Source organism: Homo sapiens, chromosome 1 (assembly GCF_000001405.40).
Source record: "Homo sapiens chromosome 1, GRCh38.p14 Primary Assembly".
In the NCBI taxonomy this organism is placed as follows: domain Eukaryota; kingdom Metazoa; phylum Chordata; class Mammalia; order Primates; family Hominidae; genus Homo; species Homo sapiens.
Genome location: NC_000001.11, coordinates 28,305,988 through 28,318,110, shown reverse-complemented (window position 1 = coordinate 28,318,110; position 12,123 = coordinate 28,305,988). Strand labels below are relative to the sequence as shown.

At 47.2% G+C, this 12,123-nt stretch overlaps 1 annotated feature.

Moving 5' to 3' along the window:
* Positions 3,974 to 4,474: an enhancer, noted in NCBI's record as "H3K4me1 hESC enhancer chr1:28640148-28640648 (GRCh37/hg19 assembly coordinates)". NCBI's record gives its function as "activates a minimal SCP1, AML or CMV promoter by ChIP-STARR-seq in primed H9 embryonic stem cells {active_cell/tissue: H9 hESC(primed)}" and the evidence as "EXISTENCE:reporter gene assay evidence [ECO:0000049][PMID:30033119]".

Here is a 12,123-nt window from a genome sequence, read left to right as displayed (position 1 = left end):
TTTTCCATTTTGAGAAATTAGAAAGTCACTACAATTCTAAGCACAGGGTTTGGTACACAGTAAATATTAGTAAATAAAATAACAGAGTAAGAGTAGGAGAGATAATCCCATCAGGAAGCAGAGAAGAATGAATAGACTGGAGTGTCCAGAAATCCCAGGTTTCTGCAGAAATCTAGAAGTCCTGCTAGAGGATAAGATTGTCAGTTGTGGCAGACAGGTGTGTGACTTTGACAGGTGGGAGAGAAGTGAGAATGGAGGTTAGACAGGTGAGCTCATAAGGAATCAGTGTTTGAATGGCTTTTCTACAAACTCTTAGGATTCTCTTCTCTCATTTCCTAGGGGGAAAGAGTGAGAATGTGAGGCCAGCGTGGCGGCTCATGCACTTTGGGACACCGAGTAGGGAGGAATGCTTGAGCTCAGGGGGCATTTGTTTGTTTGTTTGTTTGTTTTTGAGTCTGTCATCCAGGCTAGAGTGCAGTGGTGCGATCCCAGCTCAATGCAACCTCCGCCTCCTGGGTTCAAGTGATTCTCCTCCCTCAGCCTCCCCAGTAGCTGGGACTATAGGCACACGCCACCATGCCCGGCTAATTTTTGTATTTTTAGTAGAGAGGGGGGTATTGCCATGTTGGCCAGGCTAGTCTTGAACTCCCGACCTCAGGTGATCCACCCGCCTCGATCTCCCAAAATGCTGGGATTACAGGCATGAGCCACCATGCCTGGCCGAGCTCAGGAGTTTGAGACCAGCCTGGGCAACATAACAATAACTCATTTCTACTAAAAATTAATAAAAATTAGCCAGGTGTGATGGCACATGCCTGTAGTCCTAGCTACTTAGGAGGCTGAGGCAGGAGGATCGCTTGAGCCTGAAAGATAGAGGCTGCAGTGAGCTTGATCACGCCACTGCACTCCAGCCTGGGCAACAGAGCAAGACCCTGTCTCAAAACAAACAAACAAAAGAGAGTGAGAATGTGTCAGGACAAAAATGACAAAAGTCATAACGGCAAAGGAAAGCTAAGAATATGAATGGGCGTGGTGACTCGTCCCTATAATCCCAGCACTTTGGAAAGACGAGACAGGTGGATTGTTTGAGCCCATGAGTTCAAGACCAGCCTGGGCAACATGCCAAGGCCTCGTCTCTACAAAAAATACAAAAATTAGCCAGACATGGTGGTGTATACCTGTGGTCCCAGCTACTCAGCTTCCCAGCTGAGACAGGAGGATTGCTTGAACCCGAGAGGTCAAGGCTGCAGTGAGCTGTGATGGTGCCACTGCATTCCATCCTGAGCAACAGAGTGAGACTCTGTCTCAAAAAATAAAATATGCCAGGCACGGTGGCTCACGCCTGTAATCGCAGCACTTTGGGAGGCTGAGGTGGGTGGATCACCTGAGGTCAGGAGTTCGAGACCAGCCTGGCCAACATGGTGAAACCCCATCTCTACTAAAAATACAAAAATTAGCCAGATGGCCAGAGGTGGTGGCTCATGCCTGTAATCCCAGCACTTTGGGAGGCCCAGGTGAGTGGATCACCTGAGGTCAGTAGTTCGCGACCAGCCTGGCCAATATGGTGAAACCCTGTCACTACTAAAAATACAAAAAAATAGCCTAGCGTGGTGGTGGGTGCCTGTAATCTCAGCTACTGGGGAGGCTGAGGCAGGAGAGTTGCTCGAACCCGGAAGGCAGAGATTGCAGTGAGTCAAGATCGCGCCATTGCACTCCAGCCTGAGCAACAAGAATGAAACTCCGTCTCAAAAAACAAAACAAAACGAAACAAAAAAAATTAGCCGAGCGTGGTGGCAGGCGCCTGTAATCTCAGCTACTCGGGAGGCTGAGGCAGGAGAATTGCTGGAACCCAGGAGGCGGAGCTTGCAGTGAGCCGAGATTGTGCCACTGCACTCCAGCCCAGGCGACAGCAGCAAGACTCCGTCTCAAAAAAAAAAATAATAAAATAAAATAAAATAATGAAAAGACAAAATCTAAGACTAAATAAAGGGGGAAGGCTGGGCGCAGTGGCTCACGCCTGTAATCCCACCACTTTGGGAGGCTGAGGCGGGTGGATCACTTGAGGTCAGGCATTCAAGACTAGCCTGGCAAACATGGCGAAACTCCGTCTCTACTAAAAATACAAAAAATTTGCAGGCATTGTGGTGGACGCCTGTAATCCCAGCTACTCGGGAGGCTGAGGCAGGAGAATTGCTTGAACCCAGGAGGCAGAGGTTGCAGTGAGTCGAGACTGCGCCATTGCACTCTAGCCTGGGCAACAGAAGGAGACTAGGTTAAAAAAAAAAGGGGGGGGGGGCGGGAAGTGGGCATAGCTGCTTGGCAATGACCAAGCCAACCACAGAGCTAATTCTCAACATTGTTGTCCTTCCTGCTTGGCCGGAATATTATTGACTAATTCCACCTGCTTGTCCTTAGCGAATAGAATTATATCAGTCAGCAATTATGTACCAAGAACCCATAGAAAGGCCCACATTGGCATTATTTGTGGATGCAAAAACAGTTGAAGACTCAAGTCCCAGCTCCCATTATAATGGGAAAAAGCGAGCCAGTAACATCGGGTCACCAGGTGCTTTTCATTCATCATTTCAGTGCATTCTCCCACCATCATGGCTAGGAGAGGAGAAGCAGTATGGCGAAGGGCAAAGAGGCAGACATGCCTAGGCTGAGACAGCAGCTCCACTTCCTATAAACCGGGTGGCCTCAAGCAGTGACATCGTCTTCTAGGTCATTATAAGATAAAGAGGAAATGTAGATGACGCACCTAGCACAATGGTGTGTACTGTGACTGGGTTGCTGGTACTATGGTCATCCCAATTTCACAGATGTGGACATGGCTCAGTGGAAGTCACAACAAAGTTGTCATGTGCAAGAGCTGCAGCTTGCTAATCCCAGCACTTTGGGAGGCCGAGGCGGGCGGATCACGAGGTCAGGAGATCGAGACCACGGAGAAACCCCGACTCTACTAAAAATACAAAAAAATTAGCCGGGCGCGGTGGCCGGCGCCTGCAGTCCCAGCTGCTCGGGAGGCTGAGGCAGGAAAATGGCGTGAACCTGGGAGGTGGAGCTCGCAGTGAGCCGAGATGGCGCTACTGCACTCCAGCCTGGGCGACAGAGCCAGACTCCATCTCAAAAAAAAAAAAAAAAAAAAAAAAGAGCTGCAGCTTGCTAGGAAATCTCCTGCTGTCTGCTCTTCCCCCAGAGGAAGTTCAAGAGTGGGCTGTACGGGAAGCAAAGACCACACTCTAGGCGTGACTGAGGGAAAGGCCTTCTGCGTAAAATCTTAGGACCATAGACTTAAAGGCGAAAGAGGCCTCCAGCCTCATTAGTCCAGCTTCCTATCTCCCACCCCACAGAACGGATGGGGAAACCAAGACCCACAGAGTGACCCACAGAGTGGAAGGGACTTGCCTAAATTACTCAGCAGGGAATTACAGGCCCCGAGCCATAGCCAGACTTTTCTCCTGAACATTTCCTTCTGAACCCACACTCTTTAGTCATACAGACTTAGGGTTGATTCCTGACCCTGCGCTAACCAGCTGTGTGACTTTGGTGAGTGACGTAACATCTCTGATCTTCAGTACCTGCATTTGTAAAATGAAATAATAGCATCTACCTCACTGGTTTGCTATAAAGATTAAATGATACAGGGCATGTAGGATGCACAATAATTTAAATATGTATGTAGTTCCCATCTTACAGATGAGGAACTGGAGCTTGTTGAAACTTCCCTTGGCTCAGGATAATACCTCAGGTTAAAGAGAGAGCCTACAAGAAGAGAAAGAAAACTCGGGTGAGAACTGGATGGGTACAGGTGAGCCAGGCTCCACCTTTCTGTCCAGGAGCTCAAGGTGACATGGGCCACCCAGTGACCTTTCCTGCCTCTGCTGCCTCAATGCACAGACAGGTTGGTTGTGAAACACCCCTGGGCGGTGACTCAGCCTGGAGGCCTGCTCTGCTGGTCAGCGCGGGCAGGCTGGAGCTGTTTGGTTGAGCCTGGAAAGGACAACATGTCTAACAAACACATTGCTTGTCAAAGCTCTGACGGGGGTGCCAAGCACAGACTGTGAACTCTGGTCCTTGAGGCATCACAGATGACTGAAGTGGGGTGCCTAAGTTGCATGCAACATCTCCTGGTTGTTGTTCTGGTCTAACAACCTTCCAGGGCCAATGTCAGGAAGAGGGTAATGTTTTAGAGGCTGGGGAGCTCCTATTTCTCAAGAGGCAGCTTGGCACGGTGGCCAGGACCTGGGCTTTTGGCATCCATATCATGCAGACCTGAGTTCACATCCTGGCTCTGGCTTCTCACTGGCTATAAGACTTTGGGCAAGTGGCTTAATCCTTTCAGATTTAAACTTCCTTATTCTATAAAATGCCCACCTTTTTATTTTTATTTTATTTATTTTTTTGAGACAGGCTCTTGCTCTGTTGCTCAGGTTGGAGTGCAGTGGCGCTATCTTGGCTCACTACAGCCTCAACCTCCCAGGCACAAGCGATCATCCTACCTCAGTCCACCCCCTGAGTAGCTGGGACCACAGGCATGTGCCACCAAGCCTGGCTCATTTTTTAATTGAGATAGGATCTCCCTATGTTGCCCAAGCTGGTCTCAAACTTTTGGACTCAAGTGGTCCTCCTACCTCAGCCTTCTAAAGTGCTGGGATTACAGGTGAGAGCCACTGTGTCCAGCCAAAATTGTCTTTTAGAGATAAAAGATGTAAAATTCATGAAACATAGAAACTCTTCATAAACAATTATTAGAATCCTGCGCCCAAATCTGCCCCTTCCTTCACTCCAAATGGAAATTGCCCCTCCTGGCTGGGTGCGGTGGCTCATGCCTATAATCCCAGCATTTTGGGAGTCTGAGGCAGGCGGATCACCTGACATCAAGAGTTCAAGACCAGCCTGGTCAACATAGTGAAACCCTGTCTCTACTAAAAAAATACCAAAACTTAGCCAGGCGTAGTGGCGAGTGCCTGTAATCCCAGCTACTCGGGAGGCTGACAGGAGAATCGCTTGAACCCAGGAGGCGGAGGTTGCAGTGAGCCGAGATCACACCACCGCACTCCAGCCTGGGCAACAAGAGTGAAACTCCGTCTCAAAAAAAAAAAAAAAAAAGAAAAAAGAAAAGAAATAATAAATTGCCCTTCCTGCTCTCTTGCTATTGTAGTGTACTTTCTCATTCACCCAGAGGTAGTAAAAAAACCACCCATTCCAGGCCGGGCGCGATGGCTCATGCCTGTAATCCCAGCACTTTGGGAGGCCGAGGAAGGTGGATCATGAGGTCAGGAGATCGAGACCATCCTGGCTAACACGGTGAAACCCCGTCTCTACTAAAAATACAAAAACATAAGCCGGGTGCGGTGGCTTATGCCTGTAATCCCAGCACTTTGGGAGGCTGAGGCGGGTGGATCACGAGGTCAGGAGATCGAGACCATCCTGGCTAACACGGTGAAACCCTGTCTCTACTAAAAATACAAAAAATTAGCCGGGCGTGGTGGCAGGCGCCTGTAGTCCCAGCTATTTGGGGGGCTGAGGCAGGAGAATGGCATGAACCCGGGAGGCGGAGCTTGCAGTGAGCAGAGATCCTGCCACTGCACTCCAACCTGGGCGACAGAGCAAGATTCCGTCTCAAAAAAACAAAAACAAAAACAAAAAAACATTCCCAATGGTCTTGAGGTCTAATAACAACAACAACAAAAAGCAACCAGCACGCACTTATATATATATATTTATGGATAAGTACAAAAAATAAATCCTGTTTTGCATCCCAGAACTCATTGTTCAGTATGAGTTTGTTTTTTTTTTTTAATTGGCTGGGTATCGAGGCATGTGCCTGTAGTTGCAGCTGCTCAGGAAGGGGAGGCAGAGGCAGGAGGATCGAGCTCTGGAGTTGGAGGCTGTGCTGAGCTTTGATGGCACCACTGTACTCCAGCCTGGGCAACAAAGACAGACCCTGTCTCTTTTTTTGGGATGGAGTTTCAGGCTCTTGTTGCCCAGGCTGGAGTGCAATGGCGGGATCTCGGCTCACCGCAACCTCCGCCTCCCAGGTTGAAGCGATTCTCCCGCCTCAGCCTTCCAAGTAGCTGGGATTACAGGCATGTGCCACCACGCCCAGCTAATTTTGTATTTTTTGTAGAGATGGGATTTCTCCATGTTGGTCAGGCTGGTCTCAAACTCCCAACCTCAGGTGATCTGCCCGCCTCGGCCTCCCAAAGTGCTGGGATTACAGGCGTGAGCCACCATGCCCGGCCGACCCTGTCTCTTAATAAAAAAATGTTGATTCTAGGATTGTAGAATAGATAATTTAAAAGCATAGGATATGAGGGAAAACCTCAGCTATATTAATTTTGTATTTCAATTTCATGCTGACTTGATACATAAGATGGCTTTTTGTTTTAAAGGCTTTTATCTTGAGAACACGATATCTGGAGTTAAAGGTATTGGCATATTCCACACATCTGTACTTATTCTTGAGTGTGATTGCTTAGGAATGAATATGATTTAAACTCATTCATGTTTAGAGAGGGTGTCAAATTGAGAACCAGGAAGATCCACGTACGCTAAAAATGACCCTAAAGTAAGTTGGTTAAAAAATTAGATTCCAAACATTCTTGGTGAATTTTGAAGTCTTCTTCAGTGTACCCATATTATTATTATTATTATTTTTTTTTTTAATTTTTTTTGAGATGGAGTTTTACTCTTGTCACCCAGGCTGGAGCACAATGGTGCAATCTCAGCTCACTGCAACCTCCGCCTCCCAGGTTTAGGCGATTCTTCAGCCTTGCCTGCTGAGTAGCTGGGATTATAGGCATGTGCCACCATGCCCAGCTAATTTTTTTTTCTTTTTTTGAGGCGGAGTCTCGCTCTGTCACCCAGACTGGAGCGCAGTGGCGCAATCTCAGCTGACTGCAACCTCCACCTCCCAGGTTCAAGTGATTCTCCTGCCTTAGCCTCCTGAGTAGCTGGGACTACAGACTCCCAACACCACACCCAGCTAATTTTTGTATTTTTAGTAGAGACGGGGTTTCACCATGTTGGCTAGACTGGTCTTGGACTCCTGACCTCAGGTGATCCGCCTGCCTTGGCCTCCCAAAGTGCTGGGATTACAGGCGTGAGCCACCACGCCCAGCCTAATTTTGTATTTTTAGTAGAGATGGGGTTTCACCATGTTAGCCAGGCTGGTCTCGAACTCCTGACCCCAGATAATCCACCCACCTCAGCCTCCCAAAGTGCTGGGATTACAGGCAGGAGCCACTGTGCCCAGCTACTATATCCACATTAAAAGGAGATGACAGAAGCCAAAATAAAAGAATTATGGGCTGACAGGACAACTAGATTAAAATATGCCTCAGTTCCATTAAAAAGGGCTAACTTGAAGATAAATTTTGACTCCAGCTCTTTAGAGGATCTATAGTGACCTTGGTGGACAGTGGGAAAAAATCACAACATGAAATTCCTTGAATAAAAATGTACTGACTTAAAAAAACAAAAAAAAGCAAAGCACAACTATCATAGACAGAAGCACCAGGCTGGTTGTATCACTGTTATCCTATTGATCACTTGATTCATTTCCTGGTGTTAGAAGAGAAAAGACATTTTGTTTATTTATTTATCTATTTATTCATTTATTGAGATGGAGTCTCACTCTGTCACCAGGCTGGAGTGTAGTGGCGCGATCTCAGCTCACTGCAACCTCCACCTCCCAGGTTCAAGCGATTCTCCTGCCTCAGCCTCCTGAGTAGCTGGGACTACAGGTGCCCACTACCATGCCCGGCTAATTTTTGTATTTTTAGTAGAGATGGGGTTTCACCATGTTGGCCAGGATGGTCTCAATCTCTTGACCTCATGATCCGCCCGCCTTGGCCTCCCAAAGTGCTGGGATTACAGGCGTGAGCCACTGTGCCCAGCCAAAAGACATTTTAAATCAAGGAGAGTGGTAGCCTGAATAATCCCTCTCAATGATGCTCAAGCCCTAATCTCTGGAACCTGTCAGTGTTACCTTATATATAACATAATTGCTTTGCAGAAGGGATTCAGTTAAGAATGTTGAGATAGGGAGATTATCCTGGATTATCCAGGTGGGCCCTAAATGTAATCATACATATCCTTATAAGAGGGAAGTAGAGAAGGATTTGACTGCAGAAGAGAAGGCAATGAGATGATGAAAGCAGAGATTGGAGTGATGCAAACTCAAGTTGAGGGATCCAACAGCCACCAGTCGCTGGAAGAGGCAAGGCATAGTTCTTCCCTGGAGTCTTTAGAAGCAACCAGCCCTGCCAATGCCTTGATTTCAGCCCCTTAAGACTTATTATACACTTCTGGCCTCCGGAACTGCAGGGGAGTATATTTCTGTTGTTTTAAGTCACTAAATTTGTGGTAATTTATTGCAACAGCTATAAGAAACTAATTCAAGGGATGTGGTTGAATCATTATTATTATTATTACTTTTTTCTCTTTTTTTGGAGACAGTCTCATTTTTGTTGCCCAGGCTGAAGTGCCGTGCACTGGTACAATCACAGCTCACTGCAAGCTCCACCTCCTGGGTTCAAGCAATTCTCGTGCCTTAGTTTCTGGAGTAGCTGGAATTACAGGCATGCACCACCATGCCCAGCTAATTTTTGTATTTGTAGTAGAGATGGGGTTTCGCCATGTTACCCAGGCTGGTCTTGAATTCCTGGCCTCACTTGATCTGCCTGCCTCAGCCTCCCAAAGTGCTGGCATTACAGGCATAAGCCTCTGCACTCAGAGTATTATTATACTTTTAGAGATAGAGTCTCAGTTTGTTGCCCAGGCTGGTGTGCAGTGGCAAGATCACTGTGTGAATTATTTATTTATTTATTTATTTTTTGAGACAGAGTCTCGCTGTGTCACCCAGGCTGGAGTGCAGTGGCGCGATCTCGGCTCACTGCAAGCTCTGCCTCCTGGGTTCACGCCATTCTCTTGCCTCAGCCTCCCAAGTAGCTGGGACTACAGGCATGTGCCACCACACCCGGTTAATTTTTTGTATTTTTCAGTAGAGACAGGGTTTCACCATATTGGCCAGGCTGGTCTCGAACTCCTGACCTTGTGATCCACTGGCCTCAGCCTCCCAGAGTGCTGGGATCACAGGCGTGAGCCACCATGTTCAGCCACTGCATGGATTATTGATTATAAAAATTAATACTTGTGGTATATCCACATATGGAATATTATTCAACAATAAAAAGGAATGAGGCATATGAAATGTCCAGAATAGGCAGATCTATAGGAACAGAAAGTATATCAGTGGTTGCCTAGGGCTGGAGGGATGTAAGGGGTGGGGGAGTGATGGCTAAGTGGCACAGGGGTTATTTTGAGGGTAATCAAAATGTTCTAAAGTTGATTGTGGTGACAGTTGCACAACTCAACATTCTAAGAAGCAATGAAATGTGCATTTGTATAGTATATGAACTATATCTCAATAAAGCTGTTCAAAAATACTGAAAGCTAACATTTAGCTAATGTATACTGAACACTTGCCATTACTGTGCTGCAATTTATGTGCCTTCTCATTTAATCCTGGAATAATAATAATACTGTATACCTAGCATTAGCACTTGCTACATGACAGGAACTTTTTTTTTTTTTTAAGACGGAGTTTCACTCTTGTTGCCCAGGCTGGAGTGCAGTGGCACAATCTCGGCTTGCCACAACCTCCGCCTCCTGGGTTCAAGTGATTCTCCTGCCTCAGCCTCCAGAGTAGCTGGGATTACAGGCAGGCGCCACCACGCCGGGAAAATTTTCTATTTTTGTAGTAGAAACGGGGTTTCTTCATGTTGGTCAGGCTGGTCTTGAACTTCTGACCTCAGGTGATCCGCCGCCTGCCTTGGCTTCCCAAAGTGCTGGGATTAAAAGCTTGAGCCACTGCGCCCAGCCAGGAACTTGTTTTTTTGTTTTGTTTTTTTCGAGAAAGGGTCAGCCAGGCGCGGTGGCTCAAGCCTGTAATCCCAGCACTTTCGGAGGCTGAGGCGGGCGGATCACGAGGTCAGGAGATCCAGACCATTCTGGCTAACATGGTGAAACCCCGTCTCTACTAAAAAAATACAAAAGATTAGCCGGGCGTGGTGGCGGGCGCCTGTAATCCCAGCTACTCGGGAGGCTGAGGCAGGAGAATGCTGTGAACCCGGGAGGCGGAGCTTGCAGTGAGCCGAGATTGCGCCACTGCACACTCCAGCCTGGGCGACAGAGAGACTCCGTCTCAAAAAGAAAAAAAAAGAAAAAAAAAGAGAAATGGTCTTGCTCTGTCACCCAGGCTGGAATGCAGTGGCACAATCATAGCTCACTTCGTACTTGATCCTGGGCTCAAGGGATCCTCCTGCCTCAGCCTACCAAGTACCTGGAATTACAGGCATGAGCCACTCTGCCTATTTTTTTTTTTTTTTTTGAGATGGAGTCCACGCCCGGCTAATTTTTGTGTATTTTTTTTTAGTAGAGACGGGGGTTCACCGTGTTAGCCAGGATGGTCTCGATCTCCTGACCTTGTGATTCGCCCGCCTTGGCCTCCCAAAGTGCTGGGATTACAGGCGTGAGCCACTGCGCCCGGCCTTTTTTCTCTCTCTCTCTCTTTTTTTTTTTTTGGGACGTAGTTTCCCTCTTGTTGCCCAGGCTGGAGTACAATGGCGCGCGATCTTGGCTCACCGCCACCTCTGCCTCCTGGGTTGAAGCGATTCTCCTCTCTCGGCTTCCTGAGTAGCTTGGATTACAGGCATGCACCACCATGCCCAGCTAATTTTATATTTTTAGTAGAGACGGGGTTTCTCCATGTTGGTCAGGCTGGTCTCGAACTTCCGACCTCAGGTGATCCGCCCGCCTCGGCCTCCCAAAGTGCTGGGATTACAGGCATGAGCCACTGCGCCCGGCCTGCCTGACTCCTTTAAAGCATTTTTTATATGCATCAACTCATTAATCTCCATATGAACCTAATACTGTAGATGCAATTATTACCCCATTCTATTTTATTTTATTTATTTTATTTTATTTTATTTTAGACAGGGTCTTGCTCTGTCACCCTGGTGGGGCGCAGTGGTGCAATCATGGTTCACTGCAGCCTCAAGCTCCCTGGCTCAAGTGTTCCTCTCACCTCCGCCTCCCAAGTAGCTGGGACCATAGGTGGGTGCCACCATGCCTGGCTAAATTTTTTTTTTTTTTTAGAGAGACACAAAGTCTCACTATGTTGCCCAGGCTTATTACCCCATTTTAAGATAAGGAAACTGGGGTCTGAGAGGTTAAGTAACTTGCCTAGGGTCACATGGCTTGTAAGTGGTAGAACCAGGATTTCAACTCAAGTTGTTGGACTCCTGAGCCCAAGATCTTATTTTGTTTGCCTGCAACTACACTTGCACCATGGGACTGGCCCCCTGGGCTGGCTGATTGGATCTGCAGAACTCTCCATTTCCTAACTCCAGTCCTTTGCATGGGTCAGCTGCACCTCCTGTACCTTCAGAAAGAGAGTTCCCTTTCTAGCTTAAAGCTGAGGAGGTTTCTGTTACTTACCTGATTCAAAAAGGATAATTTCTGCCTACAGGGTAGCACAGGGGCTTCCTAAGAGCTCAGTGAGCAGCGAACATGTGATCCTGGCATCTGAGGACCCACAGAGACCACATGCCAGAGAAAAGATGAAGTGCTTAAGCTTCCGGAAGGCCAACAGCTCAGCAGCCCTTGGCTGTATGTATTTCAATGTGTAAGTGTCCTGTGAAGAGTTTTTAAAATAAAAAATAACTTATATTGCTGTTTTTTTTTTTGTTTTGTTTTGTTTTGTTTTGTTTACTGTATGCTTACTAAAGTTCATCACAGCCATAACAGGAAGAAAATTTCTTTTTATTCTTTTAAAAATAAAAGATTTTATAGGTTAATTTATAAGCAGTAGAATAGTGTGATTAAAATCCTGGGCCCTGCACTCTGGAAAACTTTGTCAGTTTCTTTTTCTTTTTCTTTTTTAAGACAGAGTCTCGCTCTATCGCCCAGACTGGAGTGCAGTGGCGGAATCTTGGCTCACCGCAACCTGTGCTTCCCAGGTTCAAGTGATTCTCCTGCCTCAGCCTCCTGAGTAGCTGGGATTACAGGCGTTCACCACCATGCCCGGCTAACGTTTGTATTTTTAGTAGAGAC